The sequence below is a fragment of the Homo sapiens genome, chromosome 16 (assembly GCF_000001405.40).
Source record: "Homo sapiens chromosome 16, GRCh38.p14 Primary Assembly".
Classification (NCBI taxonomy): domain Eukaryota; kingdom Metazoa; phylum Chordata; class Mammalia; order Primates; family Hominidae; genus Homo; species Homo sapiens.
Genome location: NC_000016.10, coordinates 11,726,784 through 11,747,744, shown reverse-complemented (window position 1 = coordinate 11,747,744; position 20,961 = coordinate 11,726,784). Strand labels below are relative to the sequence as shown.

The 20,961-nt window shown below is 44.2% G+C and overlaps 1 protein-coding gene and 1 long non-coding RNA gene across 12 annotated transcripts in view, besides 4 other annotated features; one reads left to right on the top strand and one right to left on the bottom strand.

The window, feature by feature from the left end:
- Positions 1-3,238: 3,238 nt before the first annotated feature.
- On the bottom strand, positions 3,239-4,731 carry TXNDC11-AS1 (TXNDC11 antisense RNA 1). Its single transcript, NR_186412.1, has one exon. It is a non-coding gene; the product is annotated as a TXNDC11 antisense RNA 1 (long non-coding RNA).
- Positions 4,386-4,908: a silencer, noted in NCBI's record as "fragment chr16:11836693-11837215 (GRCh37/hg19 assembly coordinates)". NCBI's record gives its function as "represses an EF-1alpha promoter that drives an FKBP-Casp9 reporter gene in an ReSE screen in HepG2 liver carcinoma cells {active_cell/tissue: HepG2}" and the evidence as "EXISTENCE:reporter gene assay evidence [ECO:0000049][PMID:32094911]".
- Positions 4,386-5,440: a biological region, named in NCBI's record as "ReSE screen-validated silencer GRCh37_chr16:11836693-11837215".
- Positions 4,771-5,440: a silencer, noted in NCBI's record as "silent region_7208". NCBI's record gives its function as "represses an Ori minimal core promoter by ATAC-STARR-seq in GM12878 lymphoblastoid cells {active_cell/tissue: GM12878}" and the evidence as "EXISTENCE:reporter gene assay evidence [ECO:0000049][PMID:35858748]".
- The window catches only part of TXNDC11 (thioredoxin domain containing 11), a 63,775-nt gene continuing 47,701 nt past the window's right edge, over positions 4,888-20,961 (top strand). For 6 of the 11 annotated variants that reach the window (NR_136672.2, NR_136671.2, NM_001324024.2 and 3 more), the window contains exons 1-4: positions 4,888-5,268; positions 11,512-11,728; positions 13,666-13,763; positions 16,971-17,100. Coding sequence is in view for 5 of the 11 variants with exons in the window: in NM_015914.7 (NP_056998.4) it covers positions 5,015-5,268; positions 11,512-11,728; positions 13,666-13,763; positions 16,971-17,100 (699 nt within the window). In the remaining 6 variants the exon portion in view is untranslated. Of the gene's footprint in view, positions 5,269-11,511; positions 11,729-13,665; positions 13,764-16,970; positions 17,101-20,961 lie in introns of those variants that run through there. The other 5 variants (NR_136674.2, NR_136673.2, NM_001324025.2 and 2 more) reach the window with 2 other exon arrangements.
- Positions 19,157-19,216: an enhancer, noted in NCBI's record as "active region_10456". NCBI's record gives its function as "activates an Ori minimal core promoter by ATAC-STARR-seq in GM12878 lymphoblastoid cells {active_cell/tissue: GM12878}" and the evidence as "EXISTENCE:reporter gene assay evidence [ECO:0000049][PMID:35858748]".

Sequence of the window (20,961 nt, the reverse complement as noted above, 5' to 3'; positions counted from 1 at the left end):
GGGTTTCACCATGTTAGTCAGGCTGGTCTTGAACTCCTGACCTCAGGTGATCCACCTGCCTTGGCCTCCCAAAGTGCTGGGATTACAGGCATGAGCCACCGTGTCCGGTGGTGCTTCATTACTTTTTATAGCCACATAATACTCTACTGTTTGGATGGATCACATTTTTAAAATATCCATTCATCGGTTGATGGACATTTGGGTTGTTTCTGCTTTTTGGCTATTGTGAATATCAACAGTGCTCTGCAAGAGTTGTGACCTCAGTTTTGTTTGGCTGTAGTGAGCTGTCGCATCTGCCCTGAAGGTGTGGAAGCTGCAGGTGAATCTTTCCTACCCTCAGGGACCCCTTCTCTGCACAGTGCTCCCACCCTGTGACTGAGGTGCCCTGGGCAGGGGGCTGCTGCCCAGAGGTGCCCACCCCTCTCCATCACTCACCCTTCCTGGAGCTTCCTATCCTGTGAGGACTGTTTGCATAGAGCCCCCAACCTTTGTTTTGATTTAGTTCCAGGTACCTGCACCAATTGGGAAACTGAAGGAGAGCAGTTAGGGCAGATTTGAAATATTCTTTTTCTTTTTGGTTTTTTTAGAGACAGGGTCTTGCTCTGTCCCCCAGGCTGGAGTACAGTGGCACAACCTTAGCTCACTGTATCACTGTAGCCTCAACCTTCTGGGCTCAAGTGATCCTCCTGCCTAAGCCCTCCAAGTAGCTAGGACTACAGGCATGCACTACCATGCCCAGCTAATGTTTTTTGTATTTTATTTTTTGTAGAGTTGACATCTCACTATGTTGCCCAGGCTGATCTCCAACTCCTGGACTTAAGCAATCCTCTCACCTTAGCCTCCCAAAGTGCTGGGATTACAGGTGAGAATTACCGCGCCTGATGCCTCAAGAACATTCTTTAGCTGGCCTGGGGAGATGAGAATATACACTGCTTTATCTGATGCAAGGGATGAATGCCCATTTCTAGAAAGCCCATTCTGTGGTGATGATACAGTCTCCAAGAACAGAAACACCACTGTCCAGAGTACCCAGGCCAAGGGCCTGCCCTTTTCTTCTGCATAATCTGCTATCTTGTGTTGTTAGGCATGTCCTGTTTTGTAAGTAAAAGCTTGCAAGCTTTCAAAATTAATAAGCACTGCCAACATGGTGAAACCCCATCTCTACTAAAAACACAAAAATTAGGCTGGATGTGGTGGCTCACGCCTGTAATCCCAGGACTTTGGGAGGCTGAGGTGGGCAGATCACCTGAGGTTGGGAGTTTGAGACCAGCCTGACCAACATGGAGAAACCCCGTCTCTACTAAAAATACAAAACTAGCCAGGTGTGGTGGCATGTGCCTGTAATCCCAGCTACTCGGGGAGACTGAGGCAGGAGAATCGCTTGAACCCAGGAGGCGGAGGTTGCGGTGAGCCGAGGTCGTGCCATTGCACTCCAGCCTGGGCAACAAGAGTGAAACTCCGTCTCAAGAAAAAAAAAATCCAAAAATTAGCTGGGCATGGTGGTGTACATCTATAGTCCCAGCTACTTGGGAGACTGAGGCAGAAGAATCTTTTGAACCTGGGAGGCAGAGGTTGCAGTGAGCTGAGGTTGCACCACTGCACTCCAGCCTGGGCAACAGAGCAAGACTCCGTCTCGGAAAAAAAAAAAAAAAATCAAAATTAATAAGCATTAGTTCTCTCTGGCTGCAAGGAAGGGTTAATATTGAGGAAATACATGGCCATGCATCACAGCGACACGTTCTGAGAAATAACATTGTTAGGTGATACCAGTGTTGTGTGAACATCCATAGCGTACACTCACACAAACCTAGACAGTATAGCCTACTACCACGCCTAGGCTATTGCTATATAGTATATGGTATAGCCTATTGCTCCTAGGCTACAAACCAGTACAGCATGTTACTATACTAAATATCTTAGGCAACTGTAACACAGTGGTATTTGTGTATCTAAATTTACCCAAACATAGAAAAAGTATAGTGGGCCGGGACTGGTGGCTTACGCCTTTAATCCCAACACTTTGGGAGGCCAAGGCAGGCAGATCACTTGAGGTCAGGAGTTCGAGACCAGCCTGGCCACCATGGGAAAACCCCATCACTACAAAAAATACAAAAATTAGCCAGACATGGTGGCACACGCCTGTAATCCCAACTACTTGGGAGGCAGAGGCATGAGAATTGTTTGAACCCAGGAGGTGGAGGTTGTAGTGAGCCAAGATGGTGCCACTGCACTCCAGCCTGGGTGACAGGGCAAGACTCTGTCAAAGAAAAGAAACAGTACAATAAAAACAGTATCATAATTTTCTGGGACCACTGTCACAGCACATGACACATATATATTCCTCTGCCCCATTCCCTCCTCAAACCCCGAGCAACTTGATCTTGGTATAAAAAGTGGCCAAGAGGCTGGGCGTGGTGGCTCATGCCTGTAGTCCTAGCACTTTGGGAGGCCGAGGCGGGTGGATCACCTTAGGTCAGGAGTTTGAGACCAGCCTGGCCAACATGGTGAAACCCTATCTCTACTAAAAATATAAAAATTAGCCAGGCGTGGTGGTGGGCACCTGTAATCCCAGCTACTTGGGAGGCTGAGGCAGGAGAATTGCTTGAATCCAAGAGACGGAGGTTGCAGTGAGCCGACCTGGTGCCACTGCACTCCAGCCTGGGCGATAGAGTGAGACTCCATCTCAAAGAAAAAAAAAAAAAAAAGTGGCTATGGAAAACTCAGATACAAGTTGGTGTGGACGAGTTAGGGCTGACCTAACCTATGAAAAGTAGTACAGCCTGACCCGAAAGGCCTAGTGTATTTTGAAACAAATTTATAATTGTTTCAGAAGAACGTTCTGGGCCAGCTGCAGTGGCTCAGACTTGTGATCCCAGGACTCTCGGAGTCCAGAGCAGGAGGATCACTTGAGGCCAGGAGTTCAAGACCAGCCTGGGCAGCACAGTGAGATCCCATCTCTACAAAAAATAAAAAAGAGAACATTCTGCTGCCAGAGCAGGGCCCCAGTTGCTCAGAAAGTGAAGAGGAAAGGAGGCATTCTTTTGTTAATCCAGGGTGGTTTTCTGGTCAGTAAGACACTGCCTTGCATTTGCTCACAAAGGACTATGGGTTTTGTGAGATTAAACCACAGACAACGAAAGTACTTTGGACCTTATGAAGCCCTGTGCAAATGTCAGATGTCTTATGGAAGTGTAGGGTAAATTCTGTTGCAGCAAGCTACAGTGAATGAGGACACTGGTGACTTTTGACCATATTTATTTTCTTTAGCAATAAATTGTGTAACTCTAATCTACACAAAGGAATCAACAGAAGTATAAGTGGCAAATTAGAAGGTTAAAAAAACTCTGTAACTATATATTTTTTCTCAGCTTTTTAAAACAAGATTAACACTGTATGGTTGGGTTTGTAACATAGATAATAAGGGTAATAATAACACAAAACAGAGATGAGGGACAAGTTAAAAATAAAGGAATTAATGTTATACGAGAAAATAGCTACTTTCTACAAAATAAGGCAGTATAGAAGAAACAAAAAGATGTGACAGGTGGGCGCAGTGACTCATGCTTTTACATAATCCTAACGCTTTGGGAGGTCGAAGGGGGAAGATCGCTTGAGCCCAGGAGTTCAAGACCAGCCTAGGCAACATGGAGAGACCTTGTCTCCACAAAAAAAAAAAATTAGCTGGGCGTAGTCGCACACATCTGTGTTGCCTACTACTTGGGAGGCTGACGGGGGTGGATCGCTTGAGCTGGGGTTGTCAAGGCTTCAGTGTGCTATGATTGCGCCATTGCACTCCAGCCTGGGTGACACAAGACCCTGTATCAAAAAACAACCAAAAAAAAAAAAAAAGTGACATATAGAAAAGAAATAGCAAAATGGTCGGTGTACATGAACTCACAACATGTTGGGCCTGGGTGGTTGACACATTAAATGTCTGGCCAATTGAGCAAGACAGCCATTGATTGCCCCATTCTACATCCACAGAAGCAGAACCAGACAGGAAGTGATGAGATTTGCACGTGGGTCACATAGCTGACCTGTGGCAGAGGTGGCGTCTCAGCTACTGGCCGTTAGCTGTGCCTTCTGTTTGTGGCATAACACCATATTGCCTTAATGCCCTCGAAGTTTTATTTGTCTAGTTTGTTGTTATTGACATTGGAGGACAAGTCCTTTTTTTTTTTTTGAGACAAGAGTCTCTCTCTCTCTCTCCCCCAGACGGGAGTGCAGTGGCGCCATCTCCACTCACTGCAACCTCCGCCTCCAGGGTTCAAGCAATTCTCTGCCTCAGCCTCCCAAGCAGCTAGGATTACAGGCGCCCGCCACCACGCCCGGCTAATATATTTGTATTTTTAGTAGAGACGAGGTTTCACCATGTTGGCCAGGCTGGTCTTGAACGCCTGGTCTCATGTAATCTGCCCGCCTTGGCCTCCCAACGTGCTGGGATTACAGGCTTGAGCCACCGCGCCCGGCCGTGTTTTTTTTTTCTTCAGTTAAGTTGGGATAAAAAACGGCACCTACGTGCTTCGGGGCCTGTAGTGAGAATGGTGGACACGATTATTGTCGTTACGGCTCCTAAAACCCAGCGCGGCGAGAGCAGACTACAGCGGTGTCAAGGTTCCAAGTATTCCCCGCGGGCCTTATCCCAAGGGAGCAGCTTCTCCACGCCCCGCGACGGCGCCTGCGCAGACTCCGTGAGCGGGGTCGTGACCGGTGGGGCCAAGACTGGGCTGCGGGCGGGGAAGGCTTCCGTGCATTTACGTAGGGTGCAGGGCGTGGCCCGTTGGGGGCGGGGATTTGGGCGGTGTCGGTGCCCGCCCGGACTCCGTGAGCGGTGGGCGGAGCTGCGTGCTCTGGGGTGTGAGGTGGGGCGGACCCCGCGGCGGCGGCGCGGCTGACGTGGAGCGTCCGGGTTAGCGGGTGCGGCGAGCTGCGGGATTGGGGAGCAACGGGCCGGGCCGGGCCTTCGGGCCCGAGGCGGCGGCGGCGGTATAAAGCCGGCGACTGGGAGCATGTAATGTCGGAATGCGGAGGCCGCGGCGGCGGCAGCAGCAGCAGCGAGGACGCCGAGGACGAGGGAGGGGGCGGCGGCGGCCCCGCGGGCTCAGACTGCCTCAGCTCGAGCCCGACCCTGGCCACAGCGTCCTCGGCGGGCCGGCTCCGTCGCGGGCTGCGTGGCGCCTTCCTCATGGCGCGCCAGCGGCCGGAGCTGCTCTGCGGGGCCGTGGCGCTCGGCTGCGCGCTGCTCCTCGCCCTCAAGTTCACCTGCAGGTGAGGCGGCCCGGACCCTGGGGCCCCGCTAGGGCGCTCCCCTTGCTCTGCCGCCTGGAGCCTGCAGGGCCGGGTCGCAGCGGCCTCAGCCGGGGAAGTCGGGCCTGACCTTGCCCAGGACGGCTGACCCCTCCCGGAACCTGCGGCCACGGCTTCCCACCTTCTCCTCGCCCCGGCCCGCCCGCGGACATTATGGCGAGGCTTCCGGGTGGAGCCCTGCGCCCTATCGTCCCGCTTTAGTGCCGAGGGAGGCGGGTCGGGGGTGCTCCTCACCTGTTGGAGTCACTAGGGGTGGACCTGTCACTTCGGCCCGGGCTGTAGGACCCTCATTTCTCACCGATTTCATTCCCCTTAAGCTTCAGGTGTAGTGATCCACAACCTTGCGAGAGTTCCAGACCCCTTTTAGAATTCCCGCACTCATTGATCTAACGATTATTTTTATTTTGAGACGGAGTCACGCATTGTGTCCCAGGCAGGAGTGCAGTGGCGCGATCTCGGCTCACTGAAACCTCCGCCTCCCGGGTTCAAGGGGTTCTTCTGCCTCAGCTCCTGAGTAGCTCGGATTACAGGCGCGCGCCACCACGCCTGGCTAATTTTTGTATTTTTAGTAGAGACAGAGTTTCACCACGTTGGCCAGGCTGGTCTCGAACTCCTGACCTCACGTGATCCACCCGTCTCGGCCTCCCAAAGTGCTGGGATTACAGGCGAGAGCCCCGCACCCGGCCTGATCTAACGATTATTTATCTGCACCTACTATGTGCCGGACGCTCGTCCGGGTGAACTTTTTGCTCCCTTGAGTGGATGGGACAGTGAACAAGTAAATATAATTTTTTAAAGCTTCAGTGCTATGCAGGGCATAGAAACGATGGCGGTGGGGAAAGACTTCCTAAGGAAGTGACATTTGAAGCTTATACAAAAAGGAGAAGGGACCAGCGCTGGGAAGATCCCGGGGGAGCGTGTCCACGGTAGAGCGAACAGCAAATGCAGAGTTTCTGAGGCTGGGCAAGCTTGGTGTTTCCCTGGAATTGATAAAAAGGCCTGACAGTAGGCTGGGGTGTAGGGGGTAGGAACATGAAAGTTCATGTGTGTCTTTTCAGGAATGTACACACATACAAAATTTGCTGTATATTTCAGGTGTACTTCTGGTCTCCCAAATCCACAGTGGGTCTTTTGGGATTCCAGTTTATAAGATCTGTATTGCTACTATGATATCTGTGATTTCACCTCGGAACATTTTTGAGTTTATTTAGCACGATATGTGGCCAGTTGTCAAAGAGGTGTCAAAAGATCGGGGATTTTAGTGGAAAGATAAATTATAATAACTCTCAGTGAGCATTTTCCATAGGCCAGGTACTGTCAGCAGGGTTTCTCCGTCTTGGCACTGTTGATATTTTGGGTCAGATAATTCTGTGTTGTGGGGGCTGCCCTGACTACTGTAGGATGTCTAGCAGCATCCCCGGCCTCTACCCACTAGATACCAGTAGCACACCCCACAAGATGTAACAACTACAATGGCTTCAGACATTGTTAGATGTCCCCTGGGAGCAAAATTGCCTGCTTGGGAACCACTGTTTCCATGAAGCATTTATTCATTTAGTACATAATTGAGAGCCTAGTATGGGTGTCATTTAAATCTTACAATCCCCATTAAAGTTTGAATATACTGTTATCTTTCCCAGTGCACAGATGAAGGAGTCCAGCCTTCGTGATGTTTCAGAACCTGCTCCAAATCACACCTACGTGATAAGGGGCTGAGCTGGAATTTGAATCCTTTATTGTCAGGACCTCCTAGATTCTTAACCTTGTACTTTATTCTTGTCTCCCACAAGGACAGTATACAAAGTATTTTACAAGGTAGAGTGTTGCGAGGTGACATTTAGGTTCAAATTAGGAAGAGAGGTTTCCCCCTCCAGGGGTGAAGTTTATTTACATCGGTTTGTTAAAGTCTAGAAATAATGGTTAATGTTTGTTCTGAGACAGCATGGCTTAATTGATACAGAAGTCCTTTGAGATTGAAAAGGAAGGAAGAGAGTAAATCCAGTTACTAGAGTAGGCAGAATGAGATCCTTTCTTGCTTCAGGCAAGGAGAATGAACCAGTAAATGGCTGCTGCTTCATCTTCTTTCTGTGTCACTGGCAAATTTGACAGTCTTTTAATAGACTCGGATTAATTTTTTTAGGGTCATCTTTGATTGAATGGTGTCATGATACTGTTTATTGCTGTGCAACTGGCTAACATTTCTACCCCCGCTTTTCCTCTTTCAGTTTTAAGATCTTTGCTTTAATAAGGAGATAGGCTTAAGGGAGAATAGGATTTTTTTTTTTTTTTTTATCTTGGCTCACTGCAACCTCTGCCTCCTGGGATCAAGTGATTCTCCTGCCTCAGCCTCCTGAGTAGCTGGGATTACAGGTGCGTGCCACCATGCCCAGCTGATTTTTGTATTTTTCGTAGAGACGGGGTTTCACCATGTTGACCAGGCTGGTCTCGAACTCCTGACTTCAGGTGGTCCTCCTACTTCGGCCTCCCAAAGTGCTGGGATTACAGTGTGAGCCACCGCGCCTGGCCTAGGATTTTTTTTTTTAATTTAATTTTTATGAACAGCTCCAGGCTTGAAATAAATGTCTGCTCTTTTCAATGTCTGTGGCTTGGCTGAATTCAAACCAGCTAATATGGAAAAGGTTGATTTGAGGTTGAGCCACAGTGAATAATCGTGCGTTTCTGGGCATCTAATCTTTACTTACCTGTGTCTCTTCATCCTGCTCACCTTTCTTTTACCTTGATTTAGAGGGAAAAAAAATTGTCTGTGTGTAGATACATATGTATGTATACATGTATTTATTTTGCTTTATTCCATTTTGTAATTTCAAAGCTGCCTCGAATGGTCTTTGCAAGGAAGTGATGTAGGGTGTGAATTTCATAGGAAAATTGGGGTTTCAACAGGCCTTTTTTCTATGTTGCCCCGGCTGGAGTGCAGTGGCTATTCACAGGTGCAATTATGGCATGCTGCAGCCTCAAACTGCTGGGCTCAAGTAATTCTCCTGCCTTAGCCTCCTGAGTATAGTAGCTGGGACTATAGGCACATGCTACTGGCTCAGCAACAACAGGCCTTCTTATTTGCAACCAACTCGAGTTTTTTGTACCCGAGACATACCCCTCATAGCTGCAGGAAATCTTTGCTCTATGTATAGTTTCTCTAAAGCGTGAAGCAGATTGATGAGTTAAATAGAAACTCACCAGTGTTTCTGATGGAGTAGAGGCGAGCGTTTCTTCTCCCTGGCCAATATTTGATTTTTGATTGGCCTTGTACTTTATCTGGCTCATTTAGGAATGCTTCTGAATATGCAGAGCAAAATTACTGAGTTGCTCTTTATCCTTTCGTTGACTGTCAGACCTACATTTTTCCTCAGATTGCATTATTTGATGCTTACATTGCATTTTTTTTTTCTTTTGAGATGGAGTTTTGCTCTTTTTTCCCAGGCTGGAGTGCAATGGCGTGATCTTGGCTCACTGCAAACTCCGCCTCCCGTGTTCAAGCGATTCTCCTGCCTCAGCCTCCCAAGTGGCTGGGATTACAGGTGTGCACCACCATGCCCAGCTAATTTTGTATTTTTAGTAGAAATGGGGTTTCCCGGTGTTGGTCAGGCTGGTCTTAAACTCCTGACCTCATGTGATCCACCCGCCTCTGTCTCCCAAAGTGCTGGGATTACAGGCGTGAGCCACGACTCTTGGCCATGTGCAGTTTGAATGGTAGAAAAGTAATTTCTCCAAAGAGCAGAATTTTGGATCTCTTGAAAACGTGTCTTTTTTTTTTTTTTCCTGTAGTGCCCTCCCCACCTCTTAGGTGGCTATCTTCTTGTCATTCAGGTCTCAGAGCTTAAATTATAGCACCTCCCAAGCCACCACTCCATCAGAGGAGCTACCATGCCCTTCTGTACATCACCTTGTTAAATTTTTCACATAGTGAGCATTTAGTATATTTTTATTGTTTACACATTTGATGTTTTTCCTGTCTTCCTCCCCTAGAAAGTGGTCTCCTCGACAACACGCAGTGCTAGCTGCCGCAGCCTTAGTGCTTGTGCCCAAAGCACAGTCACAGCTGCTCAGTAAAGAATTTTTGAATAATTGTGTAAGTGATTTTTTCAGGTTATGAAGGCATTCTGCATAGACTGAAAGCTCTCTGATTGAAGGTTAAAATATTAGTTTGAGTGAATAAATAGGTGACTTGCTCCGTTGGATACTTCTGCCTGTTCTGGAATTTCATATAAATGCAGTCATAGTGCATGTACTCTTTAGCACTTTTTTCACTCAGCATAATCATTTTGAGACTCATCCAAGTTATAGTACATATGAATAGGTTTTGCTTTTCGTTTTTATTGTGGAGTAACATTTAAGTAAATGGGTAAGAATATACCCCAGTTTATCATTTTACCTCATGAGTCATGCCAGATTTCTTATGCTCACTATTTACATAGTTTTTCTTTTCCCATCCTTATGCCTTTATCCTGTGTCTTTATATTTAAGATATATCTCGTTTAGATAGTGCATAATTGGGTCTTGCTTTATCCTGTCTGGCAGTCTGCTCCTCCTAATTAGGTTGCTTCCTTTTTTTTTTTTTTTTTTTTTTTGAGAGACGTAGTCTCGCTCTGTTGCCGAGGCTGAGTGCAATGGCATGATCTTGGCTCACTGCAACCTACACAATTCTCCTGCCTCAGCCTCCCGAGTAGCTGAGACTACAGGTATGTGCCACCACGCCCGGCTAATTTTTTGTATTTTTTTCAGTAGAGATGGGGTTTCACCATGTTAGCTAGGATGGTCTTGATCTCCTGACCTCGTGGTCTGCCTGCCTCGGCTTCCCACAGTGCTGGAATTACAGGCATGAGCCACCGCGCCCGGCCTCTCCTTTTATATTTAACGTAATTGTTGAGGTAGTTGGGTTTAAGTCTACCTTCGTGCTCCTTGTTTTCCATTTGTACCGTCTGGCTTTTGTTCTTTTCTTGTTCCTTTACTTACTTTCTTTCTTTTTTTTTTTTTTAGATGGAGTTTTGTTCTAGTCACCTAGGCTGGAGTGCAATGGTGCAATCTCGGCTCACTGCAACCTCCGCCTCCCGGGTTCAAGCGATTCTTGTGTCTCAGCTTCCCGAGAAGCTGGGATTACAGGCGCCCATCACCACGCCCAGCTACTTTTTCATTTTCAGTAGAGACAGGGTTTCACCATGTTGGCCAGGCTGGTCTTGAACTCCTGACCTCAGGAGATTTGCCTGCCTCGGCCTCCCAAAGTGCTGGAATTACAGGCTGAGTCACCACGCCTGGTCTCCTTTACTTTCTTTGGGGTTAATCTCATCGCGTTTTAGGTTTCCATGTTTATGTTCTCTATTTATCTCGTTTAGATAGTGCATAATTGGGTCTCATTTGTTTCTTAGCAAAGCTGCCCTAATGGTTTGTGGTATGTGAGTGTAGATGCATGGACAGCTCAGGGTGTTTACTAGGGCCCTTCTACTTGGTGGGATGCAGCCTGGGCCTAGATCTTTAGGTCTTGATGGGGAAAGTTACTTCTGACCACTTGTTTGTTCAGCGTTCTTTTCTTTTTCCTCCTGATCTGTTTCTTGTGGGAAGCTCAAGTGTTCAAAAAGCCCATTTTCCAGTTAAATAGGCTGTTGCTTTGTTACTTATCTTCATTAGTCTTAGGATTATGATATATATCTGGAGGAATGTATATTATTGTTTAATTGTTACTGTTACCTGAATGCCCTGGATAAGTACAAGCCAACTCCAGCTAATAAGCTTAATGTTTTCTCAAAGTTGAGTTGATTGTAAGCATCTCCCGTGGAAATCTTGTTAATGGTAGTTTACATGCTCCCTCACCGTAATTCTGAGCTTGCATGCTGGTGGCTCTAAAGCCCTGGAGATAAGTGGCTTTTGTGGAGAGCCAGGCTGCAGAAAAAGGAGGATGAAGTCTTTGGGATGTGGGGAGCAGGAATATGGATTATTCAGAGACATCCTTCTCTGCTCTCCACTGCCCTTCCAGCCTACACCTAGGGGACAGAATCTCAGAGAATTGTTTCCAACGTATTATTCATGTCTTGCATTTGCTCAGCCAGATGTTGCCTTTCTAGGGCAGTGATTTTGGGACTCCATTTTCTTATTCAAAAGAGGATTTTCCTTTTAAGCTTCATTCTACTTCCACAGAGCTATTTTTAGAAGAAGATAAACTAAGCAATCTTTTCTGTGTTTGCTCTTTTTTAGTCGAGCAAAAGATGTGATAATACCAGCAAAGCCACCTGTCAGCTTTTTCTCCTTGAGGTCTCCAGTCCTTGACCTCTTCCAGGGGCAGCTGGATTATGCAGAGTACGTTCGACGGGATTCAGAGGTGGTACTGCTCTTCTTCTATGCCCCTTGGTGTGGACAGTCCATCGCTGCCAGGGCAGAAATTGAGCAAGCAGCAAGTCGGCTTTCAGATCAGGTAATGCTCACATTCAGCTTAAGAATCAAATGACTGTCAGTCCTATATGTAGGGCAGGATGTCCCCACAGAGACACCTTGCCCAACGGGCAGACTTTGCCAAGGTGAACTCCAGGAGTCGTTTCTAAGTTACAGAGCTTTCTATAAAGCAACAGAAAGGATTTCCAATTGTGGCGATTGTACTCCAAGGCAAGTGTGGGAGCAGATTCTGAATCTCATAACACAAGCCAATGCTTATCCTGGGGTGCCATACTGTTTGGTTTCAGCATTGAAAAAGGTAGAGGGACTGAAAATCCTAGTTCTTGCATATCCATTTGATACTTGCTAGTTAGGTATTTTAGGTAAGAAAATGTATGTATGATATGACTGCATTGTAACAAGGCCGACCTTTTTAATATATGGACCAGAACTATATTCAGCAGATAAGGAATGCCACCTTTGGGCTAGGTAAGAAAGATATATAGGCAAATAAGTCACCTGTTATGGCAGTGGTTTTCAGCCCAGTGGACCCCAGTTGTGCTTTAGAAAATAAGTATTTTATGATGTCCCTTTTTCTTCCTAAAAAGGAATTCATAGATGATAAAGTTTTCCTATACATGTAATTTCAAAATAATCTAATGCACGGATTGTAACATAGAGGTGAGGGGGGAAGAAAGTAATTTGTAACTAAATGATATATATTTTAGTATGTAAGTGCACAGTCAGAACAGGTCCATATACCTTTATGTAGAATCACTGAATGGGATAGTTACAAACGTAGACTGATAAAGGTGATATGTTGGTGACTTACCTGCCACATGGACATTGCTCTTAGTAATTGATTATCCTAAATGGTGAACAGTCTTGGTAAAATCCTGAACTATGCAAAGCCCTTTCTGCTCTCAGTTTACATAGAAGTTGCATTCCTGAAAAATTCAGTGAACACAAAAAGCATGCTTTAGATTCACATGTAAAATGGAGCTAGGTACTGGGCTTTGATAATAACAGGTTTTCCCCAACATCAGTGTTTGGCAGGCGTTTTGAACTCCTCTGGAATGCTATGGACGACTCTTCCGTGTGCAAAGCAGGTTTGAGTGTAGCAGGACATCTACCAACACCCCTGCCCTACGTATGCACTGTAGCTTCCCCCAGTCATTGTAGCAAGCCAAAAGCATCCCACAGATTTCTAAGACTCTCCTGCTCAGAACCACTGATGTGAAGTAACGTGTGTAGGCAGCTGAGTTCCAGAAGTTCATTTGGAACTGTCATTTGGTTTTTCTTAGAAACTGTGGAGCCTTCCAAATTTAGAGAACAAAGTTCACGTTGCCCATGTTGGGCACAAGAGGGATATCTATTGTGTTTTATTAATAAGTGTGAATTAGCTACCTTACTGTCAGCCTAAGCAGTATGTCCTTCTGAGTGATGGCATTAGTATAATAATAATGATATTCTGGTGTGCCAGGCCCCATGCCAATTCTCAACCACTTTGCAAGGCGATGCTGTCAGCCCTGTTTTTCTGAAGCAGGACTGCAGGCATAAGGGGTGAAGCAGTTTGTTTACCATCACGTAGTGGTGGGGGTTGTAGTGCAATCCAGGGACTGCTGCTTTTTTTAAAAAAAAAATTTCAGCTCCTTCCAAATTGAGAGCTTACTATTCCATGTACTCAGTAGGGAAAAAAGTGGGTTTATTTTTGGAAACACACAGAAATCTTTTGAACTGTATTGCATGGTAAGATTGGTAAACACGGTCCAAGTCCTGCCTGGACATCATAGATAAGAGTATGTCTTTCTTTTTTGTTTTAGTGATAAATTATGACCTTTGAAAACTCAAAACAGTTTTTTTCATAGTTTCTGTTTCAGTGAGAGAGGAATCATTCTATTTTTAAATTTCATCTTTTAAATCTTGGTAACTTTTCAGTTGTTATTCATAGTCATTTGAAAACCTTTTTTGGCTCTGCAGGTGTTGTTTGTGGCAATTAACTGTTGGTGGAACCAGGGGAAATGCAGAAAACAGAAACACTTCTTTTATTTTCCTGTAATATATCTGTATCATCGGAGGTAAGAACTTTTTAAATAGCGTCTCTCATTCCAGTTTAGTTTGCCAGTTTATAAATGAATTTTGCATTTTTTCTATATTAAAGTATTAGATATTCACTATAGAAAATTCAGATAATACAGATAAGCAAAAATTAAAAAAGAAAGATCTGGATAATCCACCCCCCTTTTTAAAGCTAAACATGGGATCAGGCAGTAATACTATTTCCTAAACTGCTTTTCTCACTTTTTTGAGCATCTTTTCATGTCATTACACATTTTACAGCATTGTTTTTAAAAGTACGAATTACTCCAATGCATTTCAGATATCGTAAGAGTGTTTTGTAAAAATACACAAAATTTCTTATCGTTTCATCTGGAGGCATAGCAGAGTCCAGAGTGTATCTTACCATCTATTCTATTGGGAAGAAAATTACTACAAGTACACAGTCCCATGTCCACAATTCTTTTTTTTTTTTGAGACGGAGTCTCACTCTGTTGCCCAGGCTGGAGTGCAGTGGCGCGATCTCCGCTCACTGCAAGCTCGGCCTCCCGGATTCACGCCATTCTCCTGCCTCAGCCTCCCAAGTAGTTGGGACTACAGGCACCCACCTCCCTGCCCAGCTAATTTTTTTTGTATTTTTAGTAGAGACAGGGTTTTACCGCCCATGTCCACAATTCTAAAGTCACAAAGAGGGCTGAAAAACGGAAAGAGTTTTATTTTATCTTATTTTATTTTATTTTATTTTGAGACAGAGTTTAGCTTTTGTTGCCCAGGCTGGAGTGCAGTGGTGCAATCTCGGCTCACTGCAGCCTCCGCCTCAGGGTTCAAGCCGTTCTCCTGCCTCAGCCTCCCGAGTAGCTGGGATTACAGGTGCCTGCCACCACGCCCGGCTAATTTTTGTATTCTTAGTAGAGACGGGGTTTTACCATGTTGCCAGGCTGGTCTCGACCTAGGCTGTACTAGAGTACAGCCCAGACCCTGCTGTGAATGATAAGTAATGTCTAAAAATCTGACTCAAAGAGTTTTGGAGATAGGAGATAGGACTTTGGACTTTGTTCAGGGTGATTGGCTTGAAGTTTGTTGAAAGTAAAATGGGTAAAGGAGATTTGATCAGTAGAGAGCTTTCCTTTTTCCTTCTAAAGTTCTTGGGCCATAATCAATGGGGATTTATAGCAAACATGCACAAACAGTGATTTGTGGGTTCTCTGTCACATTCCATCCCATTTCCGTGTCTGTAACATAAACTGTTGTCTGGCACATAGTATTGACTCCCAGGAACTATTAGGTAGTATTTGGGCAAAAACACACTTTTCTACCCCATCTCTACCCCCACATTTTCCTCTGGATATTAGATGTTTGTATTTTAATATTTGTAGTAAGAAGCCAGTTTTTGCTTAGGGACCACTAAGACCATTTTCAGATTTCTTCCCCACTTTTTGGCCAGTAACTTGGAGGTTCTGCCTTTACATGGAAGGTTCAAGTACAGGTTTTTTCGGATACAGGAATACTTTCTCAGAGTTACTGTTTTTGTTTTAAAGGTAAGTGTAAGGTGGTGTACTTAACTCTGTGCTCTGTAACGGGATGGTGAGCTTGCCCTGCTGAGGTCCTTGCATTTCTTTTTGGCTTTGAAAAAAGGCATGGAAGCCTAGTGGGGGGGTGTAGTCCTTTCAGACTGCTCAGAGGTGGACATAACGTGATGTGACATTAAAATCAGAAGAGTTCCATGGAATCAAGTACAAGTGTCATTTTGGGATATGCAGGTATACAGTATTGTCATATATATACTATTTGCTTGCTTAGCTTTTGCAGAAAGATTGAAGGGACCTCAAAGGAACTTTAGAAATGTGTCCAACCTTCTTATTTTACAGATGAGGAATTTGAGGTGGTACGCACCTTGAAATGCCCGCCTCCACACCCCTGTCTTTGCATTGTTAGCTTTTACAAGTCACTAGAACCCTTGTAACATCACAACAGGAAAACTCATCAAAGCCTCTTGGCCTGAGTGGTTGAGGTTTCCAGATTGGTAGCTCCTTTTTCTGGAACAAAATAAGTTAGATGCTTTTTTGATTTCTTCCTTTAAATTAAAAATTATTGGTGGTTGATGGGGTTGGTGGTGGTGGTAATTTTTAAACGGAACTAATTTGTAGTAAGTCTTGATTTGGTAGAATTATTAACTGTGTCCCAGCTGTACATGTAGAGAACGCTGTTTTTCACTTTTTTTCATGCTAATATTCCTTTAACATCATTCTGCAGTGCACATGGAAGAATTGTGTTTATCCCATCACGTGTGTGTGTGTGTGTGTGTGTGTGTGTGAATTTCTGTAACCATGTATTATGGTATTATAATCACAGCCTTTATAAAATTCTTCACTGGGCTCTTGTTGCTGTTAACAGTAAGCTTAATGTCAATTTCTGTTTAGAGAAAAGAACGATTATGCAGTTGTTGAATTTCACCATAACCCCCCAACCCTTGCCACCTACCATCCAATTATATTTGGGCAGTGTCTGTATTGTGTGAGACTGAAGAGAGGCACGTGAGAATTCTGATTAGCTTAGGAGGATAACTGAATAGTGGTGGTATCACTTAGCGGCACTGAATCCAATTCTATGTGTCCCCAGGCACAACTGGAGGGGAAAGGAAGAAAGATTATTTAAACAGGTCACTGACTTCAGACCTTCACATAATTTGTTATTGTTGTAATAAAGCTTCAAATAGGTTTAAGGTTCATTCAGTGATCCTTTGTCTGCCTGTTTCTTTTTAGTAGGCCAAGGGCTGACTGTTCAACCTGTCCCTTACCTCACAGTGACTAGTAGAAGGAAAGTCTGCCCGCCTGCGTTGAATTGTATAGTTAAATCCTGGAATCCCTTAGCATGTGGTCAATTTCCAGGGTTGTCTCTCTGTTTTGTTTTTAAAAGAACTACTGTGGGAATTAATTTTTTTTTCAGAGATAAGAGTAAATGTTCCTTGTTTGGCAATTCAGTTTGCAGTTGAATTCAAGATCATAGAAGGGTAGGGGCTGCTTGTGCCTCTCCTCACCCAAAATGCTTGTTCTTAATTCTCTGGTCACCTCCTGAGCAAAGCAGGCTACTGATCTGTGACTTGGTTGGATCCCAAAGCAAGACACTTTCATTTTGTGGTGGTGATGATTTTAGTTATACATTACAGGCTTAATGCATGGTGTATTATTTTTATTATTTTTATTTTTATTTTTATTTTTTGGTACTAGTTTTGGACCAATCGAATACAAAGGCCCCATGAGTGCTGTTTACATTGAGAAGTTTGTCCGCCGGGTGATGAAACCACTTCTCTACATCCCATCTCAATCAGAATTACTAGATTTTCTCTCAAACTACGAGGTACTTGTCTTTCATATCTCCTCCTCCATACTCAAGGCCTTTCACGGGGTTGTATTGGATTGTTTGTTTTAAAGGGGTTTAAAAAAATACCTCCTGAATTGCAGCAAGTAAAAGGTCATGTGATAGATCAGCCCCAGTTAAATGCTTTTTGAGATACTGATTATAAGGATGGTTTGTCCAAGAGAGTTTTAAGAGAATAGAGTACTAGCAAAGTCTTTGTTTTTCGTTAGGGAATTTTCAACAGATTTTCATCTTGCCTTACAGTTAACTTAGAGTAGATGAGAATTAACTTACAATTTATGTGCAACTGCAAATTTCTAAGAATATTACTTGACACTTCTCATAGCATTGTACTATGAGATACCTGGTTTCTCTTGTCAGTTGTAGTTTGGTTTTTTTGAAAACTGGAAATATGTTCCCTTCCATATTATGAAGTATATAACTATTTGAAGGTCTTAATTGCAGAAAGTTTTCTAACTTTCCTGATGTAGCTTCTTTCCTGCTTCCCCACTGCCAACTTCAACCCCTGGTAAATTATTTTTATGGTATTTTCTTTTTTGAGACAGAGTCTTGCTCTGACACCCAGGCTGGAGTGCAATCTCAGCTCACTGCAAACTCCACTTCCTGGGTTCAAGTGCTTCTTGTGCCTCAGCCACCCAAGTAGTTGCAATAACAGGCAGTGCCACCACGCCCAGCTAATTTTTGTATTTTTCACTAAAGAGGGTTTCACCATGTTGACCAGGCTGGTCTTGAACTCTGGGCCTCAAGTGATCTTCCCATGTTGGCCTCCCCTCACAGTGCTGGGATTGCAGGTGTGGGACGCCACGCCCAGCCCTGTAGGATCTTTAATGCATGTTAAGAATGGCTTATTGTGAGGCCAGTATTGGGATTATTGAAAGATGTAGCCTCAAAAAATTATAAAAGTAGTTCTGCAAAAAATTCACTGGAGCAAGTGTAAAATCATACTTGAGTACAAGTAAAATGATACTTAGGTACAACAAAATCAAGACCATAAATACCTGACAGAGATTAAAAAACCATGTATATCCAGACCTTCCTGACAGTTTAGAATTGTGGCTAGTTGAATTTTACTGTTCGCACTATTTATATTCTGTATAGATTGGATACACATTTTTTCACCAGAACATCAGTATAGCTTTATTCAGTCATGTTGGAAACTACATATGTGTTAACTATTAGCAGAGATTCCCCAAGCAGCAGTATATCTAGTTATTCTGCTTTTAGTTCTTAGCTATGCATCAGAGTAAATATTCCTTAATTACATAGATAGCAGATGGATGTCTGTGCACCTCAGAGGCCTGCCTCTCATTTTCCCTGGGCAGGCTGGTGGGTGAGGGCTATATTAAGAGGCAGGGTACTGGGGCCTGATCCCTTTGGCACACTCACTGGGTTTGTGATTTGGGGCGGGTTACTCACTTCCTGGGCATCAGGGGCCTGGGCCAGGGTATCCTTGAGATTCCTTCTAACAGTAAAGTTGTGGTAAGTGGGTTTTGACATGGTTCTTCAGTGGGTTACAGCCAGAGCCACTCGGGATGGCACAGCAAAATGGTGAAGAATCAGGAGTCAGACAGACCTGCTTTTAGCAGTACTCCATTGATTGATTGATTGATTGATTGATTGATTTAGAGATGGTCTCACTCTGTTACCCAGGCTGGAGTGCAGTGGCATGATCTTGGCTCGCTGCAATCTCCATCTCTCAGGTTCAAGTGATTCTTCTGCCTCAGCCTCCTAAGTAGCTGGGATTACAGGCATGCACCATCATACCTGGCTAATTTTTTGTATTTTCAGTAGAGATGGGGTTTCACCATGTTGGCCAGGCTGGATTATTTTATTTTTTTGAGATAGGGTTTCACTCTGTCACCCAGGCTGGAGTGTGGTGGCATGAACTCGGCTCAAGCGATCGTTCTGCCTCAGCCTCCCAAAGTGCTGGGATTACAGGTGTGAGCCATCATGCCCAGCCCAGCAGTACTTTAAAAGACTATCCTCCAAGTATTGGTGTGGAGTTCATGTTAGACTCACTAATCTACTGACGACATTACTGCTGATGACATTTAAAACATTACATTAAGTTTTTTGGCAGCCCACTTAGAGTGATGTACAACAGTGATTAAACTGGACTGCCTTTAAAATGGGAACCACAAGAGTGCTACCAAGATGGGGTCCCTAGATCACTTCTGTCAGCCTTTAAAATGACTTCCTCCCAAAAGCTGTGGCTTTTATCGGGTTAGTATCATCTTTTGCTGGGCTTGTCACTGAGATGAGATTGTCTCATTGGCAAGAGATAGATAGTACTTTATTAATTGTGAAACAACTCACTAGTCAAGCCCATCGTGACACTTGTGAAACCATTTGTCTTGCAAAATATACCAAATAGCACAGCCTAGAAAATGTATCAGTTTCACACACACTGCCTATAAGATAGAGACAGAATTCTAGATCCAGAAATGAAACCACTGTCATGGTTTTGATGGTTGAATAATTAGGAAAGTTAAGGAATTTTTGGAGTCCCTGGAGTAGAACACAGTAAGCTTTTGAATATTCTGCTAAGTTAGGGTTTCTCAACCTTGGCGCAGTTGACGTTGGAGGTCAGATAATTCTGTGTTTTGGGGGGCTGTCCTGTGGTTTGTAGGATATTTAGCAATATCCCTGGCCTCCACCCACTAGATGTTGGTAGCACCCTTTTCTCCCCTCATTTGTGACAACCAAAAATATCTGCAGACCTTGCCAAATACCCCTCAGGGGGCAAAATTCCCCCATTAAGAACTACTGCTCTGAAGAATTGAGTTTTCCCAATTAAGGCCTTAAGAGGAAGAAAACATGTCTTTTATCATGGGGCTCTCAAAGGCATTCATTTAATAGTTAAAAGTTTATCTGCTTATAATGGTGGCAGTAGAGAGAAGATGAAAATTAAACAGTGCCTTGACTAGAGAATGGTGGAAGGTTATGGTGGGGTGGGGGGGGCGGGTGGAAATTATAGCTAGGGGTGAGTTAGAGTGTCATCAGTAGAGCTGTCTCTGATACTCAACTTTTTACTCAAACTACTCACTTTTTCCAAAAAACACAAACAAAAAAACCCTATACAGTTTAAATATGTGAAGGAACTTGCTAATTTAAAGACATCTTACTATGAAAGATACTTGTTTTGGTCAAGAGCCTTATCTCAGTTTATATTTTTTATCAATATGGATTTCAGTATCAAGTGTGTTTAAATTTAAGTATATCAAAATTGGGTCAAAATAATTAATGTTTTCATGGCACTTCTGAAGTTTGACATAATGAAGGATTGGTTTTTTTTTGCTTGACTTAGTGTCTGTTAGATATGTTTGTAACATCTTGTAGGAGTATGTGTGATAATTTCCTCCTTGTTTTAAAAAAAAATTTCTTGCGTAGGATCTGGATTTTAAGGAAGGAAAAAAAAAGAAAAAAAATTGATTAATTATAAATTTGTCTCTAATCTAGATATTTGTGAGCATTTTGGACCATTATAAAATTATATAGTTAGCATTCATTACTTGGGAAGTGATGATGTCCTGAAATACATAATATTCTCTATTGACATAAACTTGTTTTTGAGACAGAGTCTCGCTCTGTCTCCCAGGCTGGAGTGCAGTGGCGCAATCTCGTCTCACCGCAACCTCCACCTCCTGGGTTCAGGTGATTCTCGTGCCTCAGCCTCCTCAGTAGCTGGGATTACAGGCATGTGCCTCCACGCCTGGCTGTTTTTGTATTTTTAGTAGAGATGGGGTTTCACCATTTGGCCAGGCTGGTCTTGAACTCCTAGCCTCAAGTGATCAGCCCACCTTAGCCTCCCAAAATGCTAGGATTACAGGTGTGAGCCAC